We start from the raw sequence: 26,015 nt of genomic DNA on the forward strand, positions 1-26,015 counted from the left end.
TACATTGAATTAGATTTGACCTCTATTTTGGAAATCTGATCTGCAAGACTTGGTTATTGATTGCATTCAAAGGAGGATATTCCTGGGTTCCTTGCTTGAGCAATTGGATGGATGGATAAAAGAGTTTCTGGATGAAAGGACTTGTGACAAGAGAAAAATGAAGGAAAAAGAGCCAAAAAGGATGTCAGGAATGAACGGCTTTCTACAACCAATCAATATATGTGCACACAATTAAAAGAAATGCACTCCTATATAAAAAGGACTCATACACAATAATTGTTGGTAACAGACCGACTCGTGGAAGACAGTATATATCCTTTTATTAAAAACTGAAATTTCTGTAGCAACAACTTAAAGTAGGGCCACTAGTTTTTCTCTACAAACTTATCTTGGTGAATTCACTACCATTTAAAATAGTTAATGCCTCTTGGCTTTAGAAATGGGAAAAAATCTCTAGGAACAATTATTTAATACATAATTTCAAGGCATATAAAAGGTAATCCTTTGGTGTCAATTTGCTCAACACAAAGTCATAGTTATTTACATCTTGGAGAATAAAGAGCCTTTGTTAGAGATGATCTGTGATTTTTGAAGATCATATTGATTCAGAAAATGGCAGAGTCAATATTGGAATCCAGGGGAAAATAAGAGTTGAAATTCTTGAATGAATCAGGACAGATGATCAGAATTACCTGGAGACAAAACTATCCACTTTCAGTTTTCAATAATCCCACCTGGCTGTCTATGCTCCCCAGAGTCATTGAAATACTGTTCCATGCTTTAATTTAATTGTTTGGATATGGTCATAAGCTTTGTAATAAACTCTCTAATTTAAATAGATCAATAAGATCATAATTACAGGTACTCCTTTAACAGTCTTTACTGTAGACCATGAAATGACAGAGAAAAACTTTCTATGATAACTAACTGCCAAAACAAAACTAAAACCTTCTAATTTGATTTCAAAGATATTTCCCAGTGTTAATCATGATAGACCAAACCATTAACTCATAATGGGATAAGGCTTTAAACATAGAAACTGTCACTCACTGAACCTGACCATAGAATAAGTGGCTTCTAACATTTTATTTTTAACATATCTCGGCTTAACATAGGTTATTTGTCACATGAAAATCCCAGCTGATGATGCCTGCAGATGAAAATAGGGTGATGAGAGTTTGGCCTTTGACATAGCAAAGCTCTGTTTATGGAGACACTGCTTAATGGTTCAGAGCGCAGACTCAGGGCTTAACTATCTGGATTTGAATTCCAACTGTCCCCTCTTACCACCACCAAATTTCTACCAGTATGATCTTCACTAAGTTGACATCAACAGTCTGCACTTTGGTTTCTTCATCAGTGAAGATAATAATCTACCCAACCCTAGGGTTTTGTATGGTTTAAGTGAGACAATGTGTCTAGAGGGTTTATGACGTGCTCTCTCCATGTAAGTACTAACACTCTGGGTGACTGTGTAAGAGGTGGTGTTTGTTTGGGTTTTAGCTCTTCATAAACCAACCACAGGAAGATGTGGTGACTTGATACGAGCAAATGCTTGTGCGGAATACTTTTTCAAACCATTCCTTGGGTGTATTAGAACCTAACCATAAACAATATGAAAAGCCCCACCTTTCAAAAAATTTGATGTTATTTGGATCCTTTTGACTGTACTATTTTTAACTTAGCTGATGAATGATATTCACATTCGAGATGCTTATCCCATTTAGGTATTATTTGAAGAGCTTGGAAAAGCAGTAAATGATGGCTTATATTTTAAGAATTAATTTTGTATTTATCATGACAGTCATATGCAGAGCCCTTGGCAAGCCTTATGGAAGAGATGCAAAAATCTTAAAATATGATTGCTTAGGCCAAAGTAGCTTATAGTCTTATCGGAGAGGTGAACATATATTCAGAAGATAAATTGAACCAAGCTGGGGGATGGCAGTGTTAAGTATAACTAAAATTAAAGTTCTCCAGTCTCAAATGCCAAATTACAATGCTGGAGTTACAGCCTTCCAATTACTTTTAAGCCCCATGGATATGCCAGAAACAGAGACTCCTCCTGGGGCCTGAGGCAGTAGGTATGGACAGGAGAGCAGGTCTTATAGAAGAGGCGAGGCTGCTTTTGAATTCCATCCAATGGTGTGGCAGTGGTGGGGTCTACCTATTTGGCTGGCCTTGGAAAGTAGGATAAATATCAGGGATATTTCTTTAGTACATTCTGATTTTTAGGAGCTTATTATTTCATCAAAGAGATGAGTTGTATGCCTCCCAAAACTGATCATTTCATTCCCCACGTAAAGCCCTTTAATGTCTTTCAGGACAAAACCACAGTCCTTAGCAAAGCATATAAGATCTTGAAGACTTGTTCCTGCCAGCAATGGTTAGGGGTGCTTTCATCTGCAAGTAATAAGACATTCAATCAACAGTGGCTCCAATCAGTGCTTCTTAAGCTCTAGTAAACCTTCCAATCACCAGGGCTTCTTATTAAAATGCACATTCTGATTTAGGAGGTTGGAGTGGGGGCCTGAGATTCTGCATTTCTAACAAGCTCCCAGGTGATGCTGATTCTGCTGGTCTAAGGCAAACTTGTGAATAGCAAGAGCTTAAAAAGACCTTTAAAAGATGGAGTTTTCTGCCTCTCACATAACAAGAAATCCGAAAGTTGTTCTACACTTGATTCAGAAGATCAACAATGTCATTGCTCTGGGATTGGCAGATCAGGGAGTAGCAAATTATGCCCCAAAGGCCAAATCTAGTCCAACAATTGCTTTTGTAAATAAAGTTTTATTGGAACACAGCTCTGCTCCCTTGTTTATGTATTGCCTATGGCTACTTTCGCACTAAAATGTTGGAGCTGTGACAGAGACCATATCACCCACAAAGCCCAAAATGTTTACCTTCACCTGGCCCTTTATGAAAATAGTTTGCTGACCCCCAGCTTAGACATCATTATTTGCCTCTGATCTGGGCACCTCTCCTCTCTAAACTCAGTGAGGACTCTGTTAACAAGGAAGAGAGGGAGGAGGGAGCCATGTCTGCAACGTGACTCCTCTCACTCACATCCTGCCATCCTTTGGTGTAGACTCACCTTGCAGCCATGGCAACCACGGGCAGTTCCCCAAAGGCATCATGCTTCACTGTGGCTTCAGAAAATGCCATGTGGGTTTTGAGGACAATGAGATCAGAATGTTTGCCTTAAACAATATAAAGGCTGAGACGCTGGGCAGGTAACTATGGGGACGAAACAGAGGGTGGCCTCAGGTTCCAAGCTAAAGCATTTGGACTTAAAAGTCATGGGGGTGGGCAGTGGCAGCCTTGGGGATTTGAAAAGCATAGGGTCAGTTTAGTGTTTTATGCATGTAATTCTGAGAATACTGGGCAGATAGCCTATTTATTAGTCTGTTATGACTGACATGAAATACCACAGACCAGGTGGCTACAACCACAGAAATTTAATTTATCATAGTTCTGGAGGCTAGAAGTTCAGATCAAGATGCTGGAAAATTCATCCTAGCAAGGCCCTCTTGCTGACTTGTAGATGGCCGCCTTTTCTCTGTGTATGAGCAGAGAGAAAGAGTAGTGTCTCATCCTCTTCCTATAAGGACACCAGTCCTATCAAATTAGGGCCCCATCCTTATAATCTCATGGAACCACAATTACCTCCAAAAATGCTCGGTCTCCTAACACAGTCACATGGGGTTAGGGCTTAAACATCTGAATCTGGGGTGTGTGGGGACATAATTCAGTTCATAACAGCTGCTGGAGGGAAAAATGTATGCAAGGAGACAAGTTGGACCTACACATGAAGTATTAGAGACTGAGAATACAAGCCCTGATCTAGAAAATTGGGCTCTAAGAATGGAAAGGAAGGAATGGGTGACAAGACAGAGACTGTTAAAAAAAAAATCAGTAGGTCTTGGTAACTAAATGAATTCAAACAAAGAGTGATTGTGTCTGACAGCTGTGTTTAAAGCCTAGTGAGTAGGGAATGGAGTCACAATTAACAGAAAAATGAAGACGTGGGAAACAAGAAAGTCTTTGGGCAAATGTAGTGGTTTGGGATCTATTTAGTCTGAGGTGAGGTTATCCAGGTGTATTTGGAGGACTATAAATTCTTCCCTGAAGTAAATACTACCTAACACACCTTTTATCAGGAAGTTATGAATATTGAATTTTTTTCAAAAGTCATTGCACCCTTCCCTTGAGACCCATGTAATTACATGTAAGAATGAATGTCAGGTTCTTCATTACCTATCCCCATCCCTACATACTAGGATTTTAGCCAACTTCTCTTATTCTGATGAGTGGGGATGAATTTATCACCATGACATGTTACACATAGGATACTCTAAAGAAATAGTTAGTGGAGATTCATTCACACATGCATTCAAGCAATAAATATATAGTAAATATATAGTTCTGGGCACTAGGGATTTTTTTTTTTTTTTGCAATTGCAAGATTTAATAGAGTAAAAACAGAGCTCCCATACAAAGGGAGGGGACCCAAAGGGGACAGCCATTGCCGGCTCCGATGCCTGGGTTTATATCCCGATCATTGTCCCTCCCCCTGTGCTCTCAGGCAATAGATGATTGGCTATTTCTTTACTTCCTGTTTTTGCCTAGTTAGCATTTTAGTGAGCTCTCTTTACTACCTGATTGGTTGTGTGTAAGCTAAGTTGCAAGCCTCGTGTTTAAAGGTGGATGTGGTCAACTTCCCAGCTAGGCTTAGGGATTCTTAGTTGGCCTAGGAAATCCAGCTAGTCCTGTCTCTTAGTAGCCCCTCTCAACAGGAAAACCCAAGTGCTCTTGCGGAGGTTGGCTGACGACAGCTCTAACTGCTTCCTGCTGAATTGGGGCATAGTAAGGGTCGTGCAGTTGAAATTTCCTTGGGAGGGGTGCCTTCGATGTCATCAACTTCGGAGCATGGGCTAGCAGGCCGGTCCAGGGGTCCATGGTAGATCTTAGTCATGGACTGCATCTGGGGCTCCATTTGAAGAATGATTTGTAGTTTTACAGCTTTGATTCTGGAAGAGACAAACTTAACAAAGGGGTTAAAGACACAGGGATTGAAATGTATGGCCTGCAGTGCAGGGGATTATTTCTTTGGCAGTTTTGAAAAATTATTTCTTTGGCAGATTATTTCTTTTCTTGACAGTTTTGAAAAGGCCTGGTCCAGTAAATAATAATTTGGCCATCTGATGGGTGCTATCAATGCCTAAGTGAAAGGTTTGGTGAAGGGTTTTAAGTAATTTCCATTGGTTAGCTGCAAGTAAAATATTTTTCCTTCTTCAGTGGTTAGCCATCCTGAGGAGAGGAAACTATGTCCTCGTGAGGTTCCGCATTCTATTTCTTTTTCTGAGTACTGGGGCTTGGTTTCCCAGGGGGGATTACTCCATACTAGGGGTCATTCTATAAGCATTTCTAATGGAGGGTCCTGCCTTGTGGCTCTTTTGGTTTCAATATCCACTTGGCGGTTCACTTCTATTTCCCTTTCCTTTCCTTTCTGATGCCCCCAGCAGTGTAAGACTGCCACCTCTTTAGGTTTCTGTACAGCCAATAATAATCTCCTAATGGCTTCCTGATGTTTGATAGGTGTTCTCTTGGAAGTTAGGAATTTCCTTTCTCTCCATATTGCTGCGTGGGCATGGAGGACTAGGTAAGCATACTTAGAGTCTATATATATATTTACCCTTTTTCCTTCTCCTAATTCTAGTGCCCGAGTGAGGGCTATTAGTTCTGCCAGCTGAGCACTAGCTCCTGGAGTGAGGGGATTACTTTCAAGTACTCCATTATCACTGAGCACTGCATACCCCGCTTTTTGAAGTCCTTTTTCTACAAAGGAACTTCCATCAGTATACAAGTTGAGGTCAGAATCAGTCAAGGGAACCTCTAGAAGGTCATTTTGAGAAGTGTAGGTTTGAGCAATCACCTATTGACAGTTATGTTCTATCTTTTCTTCATTGTCTGGAAGAAATGTGGCTGGGTTAAGAGTTGCACAAGTGTGCAGTCACAGCACTGGCCCTTCAATTAATAGAGCCTGATATTTAAGCGAACGGTTGTCTGACAGCCACAAGTCTCCTTTAGCAGTGAGTATGCCGTTCACATCATGAGATGTCCACACAGTAAGATCTCTTCCCTGTATCGTTTTAACTACTTCAGAAACTAAGACTGCTACTGCTGCCACTACCCGTAAACAATGAGGCCAACATTTTGCCACTACATCAATTTCCTTACTCAGGTATGCCACGGGTTGCAAGCTGGTCCCTTGGACCTGTGTAAGGACTCTTAGAGCTATTCCTGTTTTTTCTGTGACATATAAAGAAAAGTCTTGCCCCGTTGGCAAACTTAACACTGGGGCTTGGGTTAGGGCCTTTGTCAGGGCCTGGAAAGCTGCTTTTGCTTCAGGTATCCATCTTACTAAATGGGTATTGGCTTTCTGAGTTTCCTTAATTAGTGTATATAATGGCCTGGCTATTTTGCCGTACCTGGGAATCCATATTTGGCAGAAGCCTGTTATGCCAAGGAACCCTCGTAATTGCTTTTAGGGTTTTGGAATGAGGATAAGCCAGTATAGTCTGGATACATTCCTCACTGAGGGCCCTGGTGCCTTTGGATAATTTTAGCCATAAGTATTTAACCTGCTGTAAGCAGAGCTGAGCCTTTGGTTTGGAAACCTTATAGCCACAAGTGGCAAGGAAGTTTAAAAGCGCTTGGGTGGCTTGATGGCACAAGATTTCTGAACGGGCAGCTAGAAGTAAATTATCCACGTACTGAAGGACAAGAGTGTCCAGGTATGAGAATTGGCTCAAGTCTTGGGCTAATGCCTGGCCAAATAGATGGGGGCTATCCTTGAACCCTTGGGGTAAAACAGTCCAGGTGAGTTGAGACATTGGATTTGAAGGATCTTCAAAGGCAAACAAGAACTGAGAGTCAGGATGCACAGCGATGCAGAAAAAGGCAGCCTTAAAGTCCAGGACTGTAAACCACTCTATTTCCTCTGGTATTTGGGAAAGCAGAGTATAAGGGTTAGGTACAGCTGGGTATGGAGTGACAACGGCCTCACTGATAATCCTGAGATCTTGCACTAACCTCCACTGTCTGATGGGTTTCTGTACTCCTAAATTTGGAGTATTGCAGGGGCTATTGCATGCTTTTACTAGGCCTTGGGCTTTTAGGTCCTTAAAAATCTTTTGGAGTCATTGTTGGGGCTCGGGTCTAAGGGGGTACTGCTTTTGTTAGGGAAAGGAGGCGGAATCCTTTAGTTTAACTTGAACAGGATGGGCATTCTTTGCTCGTCCATATTGTCCTTCTGTTGCCCAGACTTCAGGATTAATTCCTTCCTCAAGCAGGGGACAGCAAATGTGTGTTCCTTCTCCTATGTTCAGGGGTATAATGGCCCCTGCTTTTGCTAGAATGTCTCTCCCTAACAAGGGAGTGGGGCTTTCAGGCATAATTAGAAAAGCATGTGAAAAGAGTAAAGTTCCCCAGTCACAACTTAGTGGCTGGGAGAAGTATCTAGTGACTGCCTGTCCTAGGACCCCTCAGATAGTGACAGATCTGGAGGACAGTTGTCTGGGATAGGAGAGTAAGACTGAGAAGGCTGTGCCAGCGTCCAGGAGACAGTTAACCTCCTGGCCCTCAATGGTCAAGCATATCTGGGACACTGTGAGGGTGATGGGCTGGCGTTTGCCCCGGGGAACCCTCAGTCCTGCTGCTGGATCATCTGGTTAGTGGCTTCTGACTCAGAAGACCTTTGTCCCCTGGGGCAGTGGGCCTTCCAGTGATTCCCTTGACATAAAGGGCATGGAAGAGGGGGCGGCTTATTTCTATCTGGACAACCTTTTTTTTTTTCTTTTTTTTTTTTTTTTTTTGAGACGGAGTCTCGCTCTGTCGCCCAGGCTGGAGTGCAGTGGCGGGATCTCGGCTCACTGTAAGCTCCGCCTCCCGGGTTCACGCCATTCTCCTGCCTCAGCCTCCCAAGTAGCTGGGACTACAGGCGCCCGCCACTACGCCCGGCTAATTTTTTGTATTTTTAGTACAGACGGGGTTTCACCGTTTTAGCCGAGATGGTCTCGATCTCCTGACCTCGTGATCCGCCCGCCTCGGCCTCCCAAAGTGCTGGGATTACAGGCGTGAGCCACCACGCCCGGCCTGGACAACCTTTTTTAAAGTGTCCTTGTAGACCGCACTGGAAGCAAGCCCTATTAGGCATTTGATTTGTCTGGGCACTAGGGATTTAAAGGTGTCTAAAAAGGGCGAACTTTAGCAACATTGAAAGTGAGCTTAATAGTTCTGTTTTAAAAGTGCTTACTCATTTTCTCATGTAAGCTTTCACTTTCTTAAGTTTTCTTTAACTGTCAGGAAATAAATGAGACAGCATTCTGAGAAGGATCTAGAGGTGCCACCACGAACATTCTGAAGGAGGCTGATAGAGCGGACAACCCACCAAGTCTGGGAGTTGACTTGACAGCCCTGCCCACGAGAAGCTGGCTAAGACAGCACAGTAGAAATGTGGCCTGAAGATTGGGGCACAAACACAGCACAAATCTATCATAACCGAGTCTTAAATTTGCTTTACATGTGAAAACCATATACTCACACACCAACAAGAACTCACCCCAGCTGGCCTAAGCTAAGGAATCTACAGTCCTTGGAAAAAGAACAAGTCAGAAGAAAGAACTTCAGGATCCTTCCAGCTGTTTCCCATGATTTATCATTCTTACAGTGTAGCCGCTTCAAAATACTTTTTTAACTTCATGCTATGAATTCCAAACACATTTAAGGTTAACCTCTGTCTTTGGTGTGATATAAGACCACTTATGCCACTCTGCTTTTTCTTGGTTGGCTTTTACATTTCCTTTCATGCATGCCCTGTTTTCCAGTAAAGTAACCCTATCCCAGGGCCTTTGACTAGCTCTACTTTTGAATCAACTAATATTTGCTGTTTCCACGTGGCAGGTGTGACCTTAGGCCAGGTGCTATGAGTTAAACAAAGATGAATGAGACTTGGACCCTGCCCTTAAATATTCAAACCAGCTAAGGGTTGGTGGTTAAACTCTGGACTCAGACAGACCTGGGGTGGAATTCCGGCTTCTCTACCTACCAGCTTGGGCAAGTTATTTACATTCTTCTAAATTCCCCCCTTTTTTTCCCCCACAACTGGGCATGATATTATCTACCTCATAGGCTTGCCATGAGGATTAATTAAATAATAAAGTGCAGTGCCACATAGTAAGCAAATAATTTAGCCTTCTCATTATTCCTATTATCATTATTTCCATGGGGAAGAGGATGTTTGGACTTTTCCTTCTGAACCCTCCCTCCCTTTTTTCATTCAACCTCTTAACTGCACAGAACTCTTCTGTTTTCTTTTAAGAGAAGAGGGAAAGCCATTCTGATGAAGATCTGAGATGTGAATATAACCTTGACTGCAGATGGACGGAGACAATAGGAAATTATGTCATACCTCTATTTAATCCACGTTGGTCCTGGTTTCATCTTCTCATTTCTGACCTTTGAGAAACATTTGTTGTAGAAAAGGACAAATAACATGATTACGTCGCTGATGATTAGTCTCTAGGCATTCACTCAATAAATATTTATTCTGTAGTTTCTGGGTGCCAGGCCCTGATTCAGTGCTAGAAACAGAGTGGTGGACATGGCAGCCACAGCCTCTAACCTCATGGAACACATAGCCCAGCAGATGGCAAGCACGTGCCCAAGGGAAAGAGGAAAGTCCTGGAGGTGAATGTGGGGGAGCTTTGCCTAATCCATCAGGCACACCATGACCTTCTATCATAGTGGAAGTCCCATGTGCATGGTGAGTCACCTGTGCATGGTGGCAACTCTTTATTTGCCCAAACTGGAAACTCAGGGTGAAATAAACAGCTGAAAGATTGCAGATCTATACAAGGGATTAAATAGTAGAATATTGAAGTCCATTGATATCATCGATTTTAAATTGAAAAAGAATTACAAAAGAATGTGGGTTAAGAGATGGTTTAAACCTCTCCAAGCTATTTTACCGCTAGAAATGTTAACACAAAAAAATATAATAATCTGATAATGGAGGATAATCGCTGATATTTCCTGTGCCTTCCTCCAATCCTCAGGATGACACTGGAAAGTAAACTATGAATTTGGATTCAAAATAATGTGGTATGGTTGGAGAGCATCAACTTCATCAACTGGATACAATGGCTGGAGATGCTCTGAATTTTCAGTTAGCAGGGCTCAGCTGGTCTCCATGAAAATGGTAGTTCCATTGGTCACAGTGTCTACAGTGATTTCATGTAAAAATTGCATCCCATTGCCTAGCCATCTGGCAAGGATCTGATTGCTGTCCCTTGAGATTCAGGAAGTTATGATGGTAAACTCACAGCTGAACATGGCTGGAGTAGAGATGGGGGACTGAGGCCTGGTATTACACCCATCTTCCAAATGGAATGAGTCCGGTGCTGGGTCAGGTCCCAGTTGACACTCAGAGAGCATGGCAGGCTGGTCAGCGATGCGACAGCTCACGAGAGTGAAACCGCACCACACAGAAGTAACAGGGACTCTTTGAGCTCATTTCCCTTCCTTCCATTGTGCAAGGAACTTGGCAGGCACCGCTGTGTGGGCCACAGTGGACACTCAGCAAAACAGCACGCGTTTGGCTTCTAAAACTCACTCTGCCAGCTCCTGACTTATGAGGGTGGTGGCAAAAGACCTGCTCTCTCTCAGCTTCTGTATCCATATCCCTAAAATGAGGGGGTTGTGTTGTACGATGCTGAGGAATGTTAGGATCAGATAAGATGATGAGAAACTCTGTTCCTCCTCTGTGTTCCCAGACACCTTAACCAGAAACCAGGCAGTCATGGGAGATGCCTCACTCCTTGTTTCTCCCCTCCTATTATTTCTACCTCCTAAACCCATCCCTTCCTCTTCTTCCCAATTGTCCCCCCTTATGTCAGGCTGTCCTGTTGTCTCACCTGGATAAACAGATTCCCAGTGTCTCACTTCACCCTCCTTTCCTGCGTCTGCCCCATTCACTCGCACTGTCTCCTCACGCCACCATGAAATAGTGAGAATGCATTCTGTCTTTTCTCTCTGCATCACCAGTGTCAAGCACAGTCATATGGAATAAGCTCCCCTCAAAATGTTTGATGGATGAATAACTAGGTAGAGGGATGAATTAATTAAACCTTCTGTGCAAGTACCATTTTTATAAGATAGTGTCTGAATGTGAGCTGCTATTCTCTGCAGTTCAATAAGCATAAATATTTGTTATAGATTTGGCACTGTGCTAGGTACTGGAGATGTGAAGATGAGTTAGATACAGTTCCTGACATTCGATTACCACCCAGTGAGCAAGACGGGCTGTATTAGTTAGGGTTCTCTAGAGAAACAGAGCCAACAGGATAGACAGATTGATAGGTAGATAGGGATTTATTTTAAGGAATTTTCTTGTGCAATTTTGGGGGAAGGCAAGTCAAAATTTGCGGAGATCAGCAGGCTAGAGACTCAGAGAAGAACTGATGTTGCAGTTCTAGTCTGAAGACAGACCGGAGGCAGAGGTCCCCCCTCCTTAGGGGACCTCAGATTTTTTTCTTTTTTTCTTTTTAAGGCCTTCAACTGATTAGCTGAAACCCACCATCATTATGGAGACTAATCTGCTTTGCTTAGTCTGCTGATTGAACTATTAGTCATATCTAAAAAATACCTTCACAGCCATTTCTAGACTGCTATTGGCCTAACATCTGAGCACCATAGCCTAGCCAAGTTGACACACAAAAACTGTCACACAGATGATGATAACACAATGCCTGCTATTGCATTTCTGCAAAGTAAACTAGATCTTTCTTTTATGAGAAGTTCTCTATACACTTTGGCATTCCAAAGCTAACATTTGTGAACTGCTTTCTCTGTAAATGCCATGCACTCTACAGGGTGCATTCATAAGCATGGCTTCCATCCCTACAACAATCTGTGATGTGGGTATTGTTCTTGCCTTTTACAAGTGAAAGAGGTCCAAGTAACATGCATGAGGTTCCACTGCTGATAGTGTAGTGGAGCTGAGATTTGAGTCCAAGCCTCTGCACTACTCCAAGTTCAATAATCTTTGCTGTACATCATGATACTTTAAACAAACATATTTAGCTTGAAGCTTAGCTTTTCCTAAAAGAAGCACTTCTTTAGCCAGGAATACTGTAGTATCACTAGATTTTGTAACAGGAATCATTTTCCCCCCCACCAAGCCCCACCACACACATACACACAAGGATGTGAATCAGTGCTCCCAGCTCATTTCCTATTGGCTATGAAGCTGGGAGAGGACCATGATTGGCCACAATCTTATTGGGTCATATTGATTCAATAAGATGAAAAGGGAGCTTCCCAAATATCACTATTATGACTGAGTTTTTGTCACACACACTAAAAAATCTTCTCCTTAACTCCAAGCCAGACACAGACCACATAGCCGCTAGTCTTTCTCAATAGACAAGACAGAATTGTTGGCACTAGGTTTACCTGTTAACTATCTGCTCAATATATAAAGAATATTCTTCTTTAAACTTGCCAAAATTAAATAGGAAATGAACTGCAAATGAAAAATACATTGTCTCGGGAGCTCTAACTTTTAACAGGAAAGCAAAGACACATGATATGAATACATGAATACAGTAATTATTTATTAATAGCCTACTAGGCGCCAAACAATGCTGCCCTTCCAAGGAAACAAAATGAGTAGAAATAATCTCATACCTCAAGGATGCACGGAATGGGGAAAAAGAGAAGAAGTGATATTTATTGAGTGGCTTTCATATGGCGGTTATTTTATCTCATTTAATCCTAACAATCCCATGAGATAGATAGCATCATCCCTTTATACAGATGGGGAAATTTAGTCTTTGCGAAATGGAGTGACTTGCCTGAGATCACACAACTGGTAAATACTGATAACTTAAACCAGATCTCTCTCTAAATCCAGAGCTCATGAACCTTCCACTGATCACACTGCAGAGAAGATAAAACAAATATATAAACCACTATAGCTAGCATGGACATATAACACCAAGAAGGGGTCAAGTAAAGTTTGAGGAATCTGGAGATGCTATTGGAAATGGTCTTTAGAAAGAACAGATGGTATTTTTCAGGCAGAGATGAGAAAGAGCATTTCAAAGGAGAGGAAAGAGCTGGAGCGAGACTTGGAGGGAGAAGTAGAAGGGGTTTGGAGGATAAGAGTTGGAAAAGCTTTATTGGCATTTTAAAAGCAGGATGATCCTCCTAGAAGGGGTAACTAATATAGATTAGAGTAGAGCAGATTGGAAGATAAGGAGACTGGGTGGGAGATCCTTGCAAGTGTCTTAGAGAGCACCTGCAGGAATGGAAGGAAAGACAGATTTGAGAGAGATCACAGAAGAGGATTGTAGGTGATCCTGAACTGAATGATGGACCAATGAGTTCAGACTGATGCAGAAGAATGAAACCAAATGCATTGGCGGAGTAGGTGACCAGATAAAAGTCATGCAGTAGAGGTCTCAGTTAAGATGAAATGCAAAGCAGAAAGAGGGAAGGAGGGAGCCAGAAAAGGAAGGGATTTCCGAATGTGCCGTCCTGAAAGTGGAGTCGATCTGAGTTGTGACCAAGCATAAGGTGTGGCCTCCTGGGGAGTGGCTGAGACAGAGCTCATCCAAATGGAAGACACCAGAAGATTACGAATCTGGAAGTCACCAGGAAATCTGGCGGTGAATTATATGGAAAGGATGTCAGGGCCGCAGAGACTGAAACCATGAAAGAATGTGAGAAAAAAGTCTTCAGAATTAGAAGTAACTGGGCAGAGAAGGGCAGAAAGTCAAAAGTTTACATCAAATCAGAAAAAATAAGTTGTCTACAAAATGGATGATGCATTATCCTGCAATCATAGTGAGGATTTCCATTGGAAAAATTAATAATAATAGTTAGAGTCTCACTTCTCCCTTCTTAGGGGAAAATGACATATTAGGCATATTCATATAGGGTATTGCATTTTTCATATTTGCTAGCAAGGAATGTCAAGAGAGGCAACTGGTGCTATCAGATAACATTGAAATGCCTCACCCTCACATTTCCTCACCTGTCCTGTGACCCACCTAGCCTGCATAAACCCAGTGAAGAGAGAAGGATCAAAGTTGAGCAAATTCTCTTCCATTTTTGTTGAGTCAATCACTTAACTATCACAGGAACAGGCAGGCATGTTTAAGGACACCCTGCCCATCTGTATCTCTTGTGCTGTCAAGATGAACGGGCAAAGTGTTAGTTCATGTAATGTGCAAGAAGACATGCAGCCCGGGTGAATAACTTCTGATCAGCATGTAGTATAAGAGAAAAGTCTGTCCAGCATGGCACTGAGCTGCATTCCAGCCCCATGACATGGCATCAGATTTGGCAACTGGGTCAGCAATTGTGCTCCAGTTGTTGCTTCTATTATCTACAGGGTTTTGCAAGCCTGGAACTTCCACCCACCGAAAGCAGACTGCTGGAGCTTATCTGGCGTTTGTTAGTGCAGAGCTCATTGTGTTGTCATGCATTGTCTAGTTTAGGCTTGATTCCACTGTCACATAATCCAAGGGAAAATGAAGAGCTCTGTGGACTGATCTCCATTTAATTTCAATTTTTCTATTGTTAGTGCTCTGCCTGCTAGGGAATTCCAGAAAGTGTTGCTTCATAATTACAAGGTAGGTCATAGCAAAGAAATGAATGGTGTAGCTGTCAGTCATAAGGGAAGTCTGGGGAAAACAGCCCTGGTTGCTGGCAACTGACTAGATGCGTTTGCTTTGTGCTGACATTAAAATCTCATTTGGAAGCAACGTGGGAGGTCAGTGAGTCTAACTGCTCCTGCTCTCTCAGAGCAGCAGCACTGGAATATGGTCTTTTTTTTTTTTTCTTGCTCTGTCACCCAGGCTAGAGTGCAGTGGCAAAATCTCAGCTTACTGCAACCTTCACCTCCCAGGTTCCAGTAATTATCATGCCTCAGCCTCCTGAGTAGCTGGGACCACAGGTGTGTGCCACCATACCCAGCTAATTTTTGCATTTTTAGTAAAGATGGGGGTTTTGCCATTTTGGCCAGGCTAGTCTCGAACTCCTGGCCTGAAGTCATCCACCCAGCTCAGCCTCCCAAAGTGCTGGGATTACAGGCGTGAGCCACCATGCCTGGCCCTGGAATATGGTCTTTTGGGCTGAGAGACCTGGCTACCTCATAATACATACAGTTGTATTACCAAGATGGCCTTGCATTTTCTCCCCATTGGGTTTAGTTTTCATAACTATATTAAGAGCTAATATTTAGTGAGTGCCCACTATGTGCCGTGCACTGTGCTAGTTCTTTAAATACATTATCTCAAATAGTCCTCACAATAAACCAGTAAGGTAGGCACTTTTATTTCCATTTTTCCAGATGGGATAGAGTCAAGCCCCATGGAGTCAGGATTTGAACACACATCTGCAGGTCTGGAGGATGATAGAACCTATCTTGTCTTTACTCACATTCCATGCTGGTCCCCAGGGCCCCAGTGCTGTACATTCCACAATGCAATCAAGATTCATTTGGAATTCTCTGAAGTGCTCCAGCAGGCCTTGTGCAACTCGAAGGTTCTGTCAACTCCTGTCTGGGGCTGACATAAATCTACAGCTTCTTTCACAATAATACTAGTAATAACAACAGTGACAGGTTTTTCAGTAATTTGCATATGTATTCTTTTATTTTATCCTTACAAAAGTCTTATAAAATGGGTAGAACAAATAGTTTACAGTTCAGTTTGCAAATAAGAAACCAAGACTCAGGTAAGTAATTTAAATTCTCTAACTCACAGCTAGTAAACTGTGGAATCCAGGAATCAAACCCACATCTTCTAAGCTCAAAGCCAGCGGGTCTCAGAGTGTGGCAACTGAACCAGTAGCATCCAGGAATTTGTTTTAAATAAACATTCTCAGGGCCCAGTGCAGACCTAATAAATCTGAAATTCTGGGGGTGAGTCCAGCCATCCGTGTTGGAACAAGCCCTCCAGGTGACAGTGGTGCACGCTCAAGCTTGGTCTAGGCCAGTGCTTCTTCCATTGCCTGGTGCGGCGTTCACTCCACCACCTCTAGTTCTGACCCTCTGCAATGAATGAAAAGAGAAAAAAGTGAACTGGTCTAACAGAATCTTTTGTATCTGAAGTGCAATTTCATCAGTGACTTCTTAAGATTATGCCTGAGGTTTTTGGTGTTGAGAAAAAAAAGACATCTCAGCCCTAATAGAGGAGGTTAATAAAGCCCATTGAACTTCATTTATTTTCTCACAGGGAACGCAAGGGTGACAATTCTCCAAAATAGGGATTGCATTTTTTCCTACTTATAAAAAAATTTATCTCAACAACATCTCTTCTATGAAATACAACACCATCATAATCACAAATGGCTTTTTAAAGAGTTTTTTGTTTGGTTTTGTTTTGTTTTGAGACAGGATCTCGCTCTGACACACAGGTTGGAGTGCAATGGTGTGGTCAGGGCTCATTGCAACCTCAACCTCCTGGGCTTAAGCACTCCTCCTGCCTCAGCCTCTCAAGTAGCTGGGACTACAGGTGTGTGCAACCAAACCTGGCTAATTTTTTATTTTTTTGTAGAGACAGAGTCTCGCTATGTTTCCCAGGCTGGTCTTGAACTCTTGCAGTCAAGCACTCCTCCCGCTTTGGCCTCCCAAAATGCTGGGATTACGGGCATGGGCCACCGTACCTGGCTAGGAGTTTTATTTTTGATAGGATTTCGCCTGTAACATTAAATAAAGAAAATATTTTCCAATGAACTGTTTATTAAAAATTAGCAATATTTATCTAAATATTAATCTCAGATAAGCATTTAATGACTAATGGAAACTGGGGGTGGGGGACCCAAGCAAATAGCCATCAAAATCAGTAGAAATAACACTTATTTAAAATAAATATTCATTAGGGAGAAAGTGCTGCACAGAACATAGGAACGTTGTCTTTAAAGTCAAATGGCCCTGGGATCCAGCACGGCTCTGCCATTTACTTGCTACCTGTGGGACTCAGAGCAAGTCATCTATCTACCCTCATCTGGACTTTATGCATCTGAAAAATGGAATCATAACTGAACCCACTCAAAGAGTTGTCCTGAGAATTAAATGAGCTCACATATGAAAAATACTTAAAACACAGTGACCTCTGCATAGTAAGGACTCAAAGACTGTTAGCAATTATTTTTGTGTTTTAAGTGACAAATATGTGCCATGTGCATAGTAGATCAGATGCCAGGGACAGAACAATGAATAGCATGTGAAACTTGCCCTCTGATCCTTCAAGGCTCACTCTTTCACTCTATTTTACAAAGTCTGTTTCTGTTTTGGTTTATTTTTAATGTAGCACTTGGAACATATCCCGAATTTACATATAACCTGGCAGGGCTGCGCTGGCTACCAGTAAGATTTCTTTTATGAGTACTTAAGATACCATCAATGATAAGACACATTATTTCAGGTACTGTTCAAAAAGAAAAAAAAAACACTGCTAATCATAATTATAAGATGTCATTGATTGTGAAATACTCCCTAATTTCAATTCAAGAAGCAGTAGAAAAAAATTTTTGTTTTAGAATTCATGCAATGTAGTATTTTCATTTCCCATCACTGCCTAGAACCCACAAAGAAACACTCTGCCTGGGCCATGTGTATATCTGTGTTAAGGGATGGAATGGGAAGTGGCTCACAAAAAGGATATTTCATAATAGATCGGAACTGGCTTTGAAGAAACTTTCTGAGTCAGAAAACAAATAAAACATCAATGGCAGATATCCTGCATCAAGAGGACAGTATGCTTCTGGAGCTGCCGGTACACTCTATAAAAATGACTGCAGTCAGGTCCAGTAAAAGTCCACTTATTTGGCTTCTACTCTTTGCCATTCATTGTTAGGTGGAGGGCTACCAGCAAAATCACATCTATTCTCTCTAGATATTCACATACTGGTAGGAGAGGTAGACAAACAGAATGCAGAGGACGGTTTCAATGTAGAAATATGCAAAGTCTAGAAATAGTACAAGAAAAATGAGGCATTAGGGGAGGAGAGGGAGTAAGAAGTGTGGCTAAAGAAGGCTCCTTGAGAAGGCAACGCCTGAGCAGTTTTGAAAGATAACTAAGAGCTGAACAAGCATTTGGGGAAAGCAACAACACTAAAAAAAATTGTAGGTGTTATGTCTATTTCAGCTAATGTTGTTTTTCCACAACTGTAGATTGGATGCCCTACCTCGGCTAATCAGGAGAGAGCTTGTGAAACAGCTGTACAAATATCTTTCTGCCAGAACCAGTGAATCTGGAAGCTCATATGAAGTCACTCATTATTATGACACACACACACACACACATACACACACACACACAGACACAAAACAAAATGAAAAAGAACCTGGCACAGACTTGGTACTTTTTGTTTTCATAGCTTTAAACAAACAAACAAACAAACAAAAAACAGGGCATTAGGATTGAGACTTAATGAAAAGTTGAGATATCACATTTCTTTTCAATTCTTCATATTGGACTCCGCAAGAGAAATAAAGGGGCGGGGAACACATTGTAATAAGAAATAACATGCATCATGAAATTGTTAAACAAGGCTGGGCACGGTGGTTCACACCTGTAATCCCAGCACTTTGGGAGGCCAAGGCCGGCAGATCACCTGAGGTCAGGAGTTCGAGACCAGCCTGGCCAAGATGGTGAAACCCTGTCTCTACTAAAACTACAAAAATTAGCCAGGCTTGGTGTTACGTGCCTGTAGTCCCAGCTACTCTGGAGGCTGAGGCAAGAGAATTGCTTGAACCCAGGAAGCGGAAGTTGCAGTGAGCTGAGATCACACCACTGCACTCCAGCCTGGGCGACAGAGTGAGTGAGACCCAGTCAAAAAAAAAAAAAAAAAAAAAAAGAAAAGAAAAGAAAGAAAAAGAAGAAAAAGAAGGGAAGAAAGCAAGCAAGCAAGCAAATGAGCGAGCAAGAAAGGAAGAAAGAAAGAGAAATTGTTAAGACAATACAAATAAATCAAATCAGGGGGATGGAGGAGCATGTGTGATTCTTCTCAAAGGAGGGGTTTTGCAAGGAATGGTCTATATTAGCTTGTAAAGTATGTACAAAATCCATTTTTCTCTGGGCACTTGTCCAATTCTGTCTCTTTTCCACTTTCAGTCAATGCTGATGGTGTGGTAAAGCTTTTTTTATTCAGAAAGAACTCTAGTCAACCTTGACACTTTTTTTTTTTTTTTTGAGATGGAGTCTTGCTCTGTCACCGAGGCTGGAGTGCAGTGGCACGATCTCGGCTCACTGGAAACTCTGCCTCCCAGGATCACGCCATTCTCCTGCCTCAGCCTCCCGAGTAGCTGGGACTACAGGCGCCCATCACCTCGCCCGGCTAATTTTTTGTATTTTTAGTAGAGACGGGGTTTCACCGTGTTAGCCAGGATGGTCTCGATCTCCTGACCTCATGATCCGCCCGCCTTGGCCTCCCAAAGTGCTTGGATTACAGGCATGAGCCACTGTGCCCGGCCGACACTTCTAAACTTAGCAATCCATTTCCTTGACCCTATCAGTTTGTTGTCACTTCCAACCTAGGGCCCCTCAAATGGCAGAAGTAAGTTGAACACAAATTTAGTGATGTTCCTTCCTTGTTTCATTTTATAGCTGCCATTCATCAAATTGCCTTCTTCCTACATCTGCTACCTACTATACAACCTCATTGACACTCTAAACAACACACCAGATAAAACCAGTTTGTTCACAGATCATATGCCAAGGCAACCATATACCAGGCAATTCAATTTTGGACTTTCTGGAATTTCAGGGAGAATTTATCCACAAAGAGCATATGCAGAACCCAGGTTCCCTCTGAAAAAAATTCTGAATTAGTTGCAAAATTCCCATGACACATCATAATTAGGGAGAGATGGACAAGAAGATAAGAGTATGGCTCCAATCAAGGAGACTTCATCGCATATAAATATTTGCATGGCAATCATGAGATCATGCATGCAAACAGCTAGCCCAGGGCCTGCTATATAAAACCATCAAAAGCTTAGTTTACCCCGTGTGGGGCTATCTCAAAGGCATCCCACCCTAATCTGAGGTAACAAGTATTCTGGAAGAATCCAAAGCTGTGGAAGAGGAGAAACACAGAGGAAAGAGAAAGTTGTTTGATTTGTGTTGGTTTGTTTTTTATCCGAACCTGTTTCAGCATTCTTACAGGGAAAAGCCAAGCCTTACCATCTTCCTCATTATTAAACAAGCTTAGAAAGCCTGCAAAATCTTATTTTTTAGCAGACGTTGGTAGCATATACTGTGTATCAATGGAACTGAATGCTCAAGTTAGAGCATAAATAATTTTTGTACATAATTTATATGTTTCTGTAAAGCAAAAGGAATTATGTTTGCATCAGAAGCTTTTCTCACGTTATTGCCAAACTCCCTCTTTTTTCTGTCTGATGTAAGGTCACGCTGTTGCACAATTGGGAACACTGGGGTAATAACGGGAGACAGAAAGGACAGGGAACTGTGCATTTCAGTTTGTTCAAATACATTGGTAACTCATCTCTGTCTCCTCCACACTTCCTCCTGGCTCTATGGGTCATGGTAGAGGAACAATTACGTGGAAGAAATCAAATATGAATGACTGCTTTCCCCCTCCAGCTCTCTTCCCTACTTCCTCCTTGTGATGGGTTTATCACTTTTCCCTCCAGGGTTGTAAATAAAGGCTTCTGGGGTTCTCACGGCTGGAGAGAGAAGTAGTCCCCTCCTATCAGCCCTTACAAACTGTTTTTCAGCAAATCGTGATGAGAACATCATTGTGATATACAGTATCTAATTAATTTCTAACTAATATTAATATTTTGGCCCGGCGCAGTGGCTTGCACCTGTAATCTCAGCACTTTGAAAGGCCGAGGCACCACTTCACCTATTCTATTTGTTTTCTATAACAAAAATTAAGCCCAGAGCACTTAAATGCTTCATTCAAAAACCACCCACAAGATAGTGGTGGAGGTACATATTGAGGTAAGAATCTTTCTACCACATCATGATACTCCTGAGTCAACCCCACGGATATGCTATATTGAGTCATGAAAATGTGACAATATATTTGGGAAAATAGTCTGAGGATCTTATCCAATATAAATACAATTTGCCAACATTTTCACTTATATTCTAAAGCAACATGCTCACAACTAACAATTATGTCTTCATTTTATGCTTTTGTAATAAGGTAGTCTGTCTAGTCTACCTTACTACTAACTCTGGTGTTACCCTTTGTTGTCTAAAAAAGTACCTAGGTTTGACTCATGGCAATGTCTCTTCTCTGGATCTGTTCCTCTGGCTATGCCTCAGTTAATACAATGTCTTCCTAATGCAGTTTCAATGGCCAACAAAAGAGATGCTTGAGCACTAAGAAGAATCCTTTCCAGTCCAATGAGAAACAAAAGTTCCCGTGAATTCCCTTTGATAGTTACACGTTCAATATTCACTCATTCATTCACTTACGAATTTCTTCTGAAGTCCCAGGCGCTGGATTAAGTGCTGCAGAGGCCAATGCCTAATAAGATACTGTCCCTGGACTCATGGAGTCCATAATCTCATGAGGACAAAATGTGTAAACCCTGCACTGTGGATATGGCCAGAGAAAGCAGTAAATAATCGAGGTGCTTTGGGGCGTGGAGAGGAAGGAGCCATGCCTGGGGAGGATGGGAAACAGCCTTATCTAAATATGCCAAATCCAAGCAGTCAAGACACCTAGGTTCTAAAATCTTTATAAGAACAATCTCATTTCCTTTGATGCAGAAGACACAGCCCAGCTGTGATCTAGTATCTGGGCATTCTGATCAAGGAGCAAAAGGTCAGGAGTCATTGCCTGATCACCAAACAGAACAGAAGGGTGGATCTCAGGACCTGGAGAGTGGGGATAGATGGTCAGAATTAGAGAGAATGGACCACAGAAAATCTATTTGAAAAGCAAGCCAGCCATCTGTAAGCCTCTTGAGAGAGAGTCAAACCACACAGTTTTGAAAACAAATTCTCAGCTGCTTGAGCAGGCAGGTGGATCAGCCTGGGCTAACTCTGGGAGATCTAATCAGTTGCAGGTGCATTTTGGGTGTTTTAAGAGCATGTTAGTCATAGGGGTAAACTGTCACTTTGCACAGTTGAGGTTGAGGCATAGAACTAGTACTTTCTCTTTACTGGAGTTGCTGCCGCCCCTGAGCCAGTGTGAGCTCCCAGCCACGCATGGGCCTGGGAGATGTCCAAATCGAATCGCTGTTTTGCCTAAATCTCAGAGCTCTCCAACAACACTAGTTACCTCTCAGGGCTAGGACAAGGATGAGGCAAGAGAGGCAGCGAGACTAAGATATAACTCAGTTTCCCACTCTGCACCGCCTTGAGCAAGACCAAGTTCTTCTTTAGATCCTGACTCTTTCTCCAGAATGGCTTTCCAATTCTAGGAGGAGGAAGGGCTTCAACGATTCTATGGCAGGCAGCACTTACTATTAAAGAGAAATGTGGAACAGGGAGGAGCCTGGTCGATTTCCCAAGGACCTCTGACCAAAAATTCCTGTTGAATTTTTACAAAGAGATGTTGGTCAGAGGATACAAAATTTCAGTTAGATAGGAGAAATGTTCAAGAGACCTATTGTGCAACTGATGACTATAGTCAATAACAATAGGTTGTGTTATTGAAAATTAGGAGAGTAGATTCTAAGTGTTCTCTCCACACACACACGTGAGGTAATGCATGTGTTAATTAGCTCGATTTAGTCATTCCACAATGTATGCATATTTCAAAACATGTTGCACATGATAAATATATATAATTTTTGTCACTTAAAAAACTAGTTTAGAAAAATTTCTATTGGCAGAGTCTCAAAAGCAATGGTACTCATAGTGCCCAATCTCAGATTACTAATGGGGTTTTTTTTGTGATTTATTTTTTTAAAGAAAATAATCTCCTGTCTCCTTCCATGTGTCTCCTTCACTTCTCCCAGTCAAAAATGCATTTCTCAGTATCTCCCTTCTCTGCTCATTGAAAACAGATTCAAAATATAAGCCCCTGAGAAAAAATTTCTTATGTAAGGCATATTTTTAATTCTGTTGTGGCTTAACCTTTGGTTATAACACCAGAGCCCTGCTAAGAACTATCAGATCTAATGTTTAAACACTATTTTAAGACTAATACATATTTATTACAATGTCCCCTGGGTTTCTCTTCTGAATGAGAGTTTAAGCCAACAATCATTTTTACAAACAGAGCAATAACCACAAAATACTCAACAAATTAAATACATGGCTTAACTATCTAATCTGGAGAGAACACATAAACATTACTATTTAGATAATATATCTTATTTTTTTATTATCCAATTTGCCTCAACTTCATTGTTTTCCTTTTTAAAAAATAAGGCTAGTATTATCATAAACTGGTATCCATGGTTTCCTTTTCATTAAGTTCTCTTTTTCTCATTGTCTTCACTCATCTTAAAAAAAAATCCGATTTGGGAAAGAGGAAGAAAATAAGGGGAAAAATGATTTACAAGGCAGGAGCGAGACATTTCCTCTACATGACACCATGGCTCCAAAAGCATTGGGCAGATTTTCTACAAAGGATAAGGAAAGAACTAAACATGTTCTATTTCAAAATATTACAGACTGATTATTGGATGCAAGATGGATTGCACCTCAGAAAGAGCACATCCTTTCGTCAACGCATACTGGCCATAGAGTCTCATAAAACATTTTCAAATAGCTGAGGGCAAGCCCGGAGATGAGAAGTCCCTTCATGCTGGGTTTCCAGGCAGAGGTCACTTTGCCAGTGAGCTTGTATGCTGCTCAGCTGACGCAGGAGTTAAGTAAAAGCCTCCAGCAGCACAGAAATGTGGGTCTTTCCCTCAGTGATTCATCACTATCAGCAATCAGACAAACTGTCTCATAAGGTCTGAGCATAAATTACTTCATCTCCACCAATTTAGGTTTAAAGATCATTAAACTCTGAATGCACTTGGAAAACACCTTGTTCATTTGTTACTTACTATTAACTCTAGAATATTTTATATGGTTGACCACAAGAAGACAGTGATGATAAAATACTGCAATTACCCAACCATAACTTTAAGAGAAATCCTCTCATGTTCAGAACTCGGTATAATTCATTAATAATATCCATCAATATCTATGAATATAAGAAAACAGAGGCACTTACCCAAATGAGTAATTTTTTTAAAAGCCACCATCTACAATATCGTATTTCATTGAATCCTCACAAAAATTTTGTGATATATGGCTGAGACTTTAAACCCATTTTGGGATAAGAAACTGAGATCCAGAAGGGTTAGGGCACTTGCTTAACGGTACACCACTTGTTAGTAGCAGAGCTGGGATTTGCACCAGGGTTGTTCCAAATTCTAGTCCAGTTTCTTCCTAATATACTAGGCTGTTTAACTCAGATGATGGCCAGGCTTACTAAGACCATTATGCTCAAAAATTTTAAATAAATATAAGAATCTAGGTAACAGACAAGTTCTTCCTGTGCAGTTGGAAAAGTAACTTCGTCTTAGAAGCACTTATCCTTTTGAAAAGATGACCTTGTGAATTACGTCAATGTTGCGTCAATTGTGTAGGACTCATGGTCAGTAGGAGAGAAAACTGATATGTGAACAAACCTAGTCATGCTGGGCCTTCTCTATTTGTTTCCAGCTCTCCTTTCCATCCTTCCCACCTGCTCTGTGCTCTAGGAGGCTGACCTCTATTAAATGAATTCCTTCCTCACTCTCTGGGGTTTGCTTCAGCCATGGAATGTCTTTGCAGGGGCCAGCGAGTGGGAGAGGAGGTTGGGTTGGACTGTGTGCTTCCCCTCCCTGTTGCCTGCTGGTCCAAGAGTTGGCAGTCACTGCATTCTTCCCCAGAGACAGCAATTTGTCTTCACCTTCAGCTTGCTCCTGCTCTGTCCCCTGCCTCTCCCCCTCCCTTTTGCCCCAGTAGCTCCACACTCCCTTTACCCCTTCTGCCAAAGAAGAGCCTGAGACAAAGGCTTGGGTGCAGGTGATCTATTTGGGAACTCAGCTTAGAGAAGAGGAATGAGGGGCAAGAAGAGTGAACAACAGGGAGGTTCAAAGCCGACAAGGATGAATTACTGAGTTGGCCATTGCTGTTGTCAATGGGTGCTTCATTCCTCAGAATCTTCCGTGGAATCTTATGAAATACACCTCAGACAGTCTGCTAGGGAGGAAGACAAGGAATGTGCACCAGTTGCCTTCCGCCCCTCATTCTTTAAGAGAAGCGCAACCCCACTGATTCACCCACATTTCCAGGTTGCACATGCCAGAAGGCCAGGCAGGGTCCCATAGGCATAGGCATCCCAGCATCAGGGAGGGCCTAGGGCAGGACCTGAAGGCACCATGGAGCAGGCCATTGGCAGCAGCCCTGACGGTACAGCTCTGACAAGGGGAAGGGCAGCAGGATTGGGGAAAATGGAGCCCTGCCACTGTTACTGGGGAAGGCTTCACTGCCCCTAGTTTGCTTGACTTTTTACTTAACTCTGACACTCATGGAAACAGTTCCTTCTTTAAACTCTCCTCGAGTTCCCCATTCGATGGGATATCTATTTTGTGTTAAATCCTGCCTGCTTTACTAGCATTCTGTATCTTTTCAACTATTCCTTCAAGACTCTTCCTCTCTTTTCCTCATTATTCTCTATCCCCAAACAATAACACCTCATGGTTTTATGCTTCCCTCTTTACCGGGTTGGGGAATGTCCCCGAGAATTCATGTTCTTTCCAGGATCTCAGAATGTTATCTTATTTGAAAATAGAGTTATTGCAGATGCAACTAGTTAAGATGAGGTCATCTTGGAGTAGGATGAGCCTTTAATAAAATACAACCAGTGTCCTTATAAGAAGAGAAGACACACAGAGACAGAGACACACATGGAAAACAGCTGGTGAAGACAAAGGCAGAGACTGGAGAGCGGCCTCTACAATCCAA

At 41.9% G+C, this 26,015-nt stretch overlaps 1 long non-coding RNA gene across 2 annotated transcripts, besides 1 other annotated feature; it reads right to left on the reverse strand.

Annotated features, from left to right (window-relative positions):
• Positions 4,347-4,553: a silencer, noted in NCBI's record as "fragment chr6:138039958-138040164 (GRCh37/hg19 assembly coordinates)". NCBI's record gives its function as "represses an EF-1alpha promoter that drives an FKBP-Casp9 reporter gene in an ReSE screen in K562 erythroleukemia cells {active_cell/tissue: K562}" and the evidence as "EXISTENCE:reporter gene assay evidence [ECO:0000049][PMID:32094911]".
• LINC02539 (long intergenic non-protein coding RNA 2539) lies at positions 15,696-24,563 on the reverse strand. 2 transcript variants are annotated; one of them, NR_121618.1, is made up of 3 exons: positions 24,235-24,563; positions 16,738-16,771; positions 15,696-16,123 (listed from the first exon to the last, which is right to left on the reverse strand). It is a non-coding gene; the product is annotated as a long intergenic non-protein coding RNA 2539 (long non-coding RNA). The 2 variants fall into 2 exon arrangements; NR_121619.1 differs by lacking the exon at positions 16,738-16,771.
• Between the last annotated feature and the right edge of the window lie 1,452 nt (positions 24,564-26,015).

This window comes from Homo sapiens, chromosome 6 (assembly GCF_000001405.40).
Source record: "Homo sapiens chromosome 6, GRCh38.p14 Primary Assembly".
Classification (NCBI taxonomy): Eukaryota; Metazoa; Chordata; class Mammalia; order Primates; family Hominidae; genus Homo; species Homo sapiens.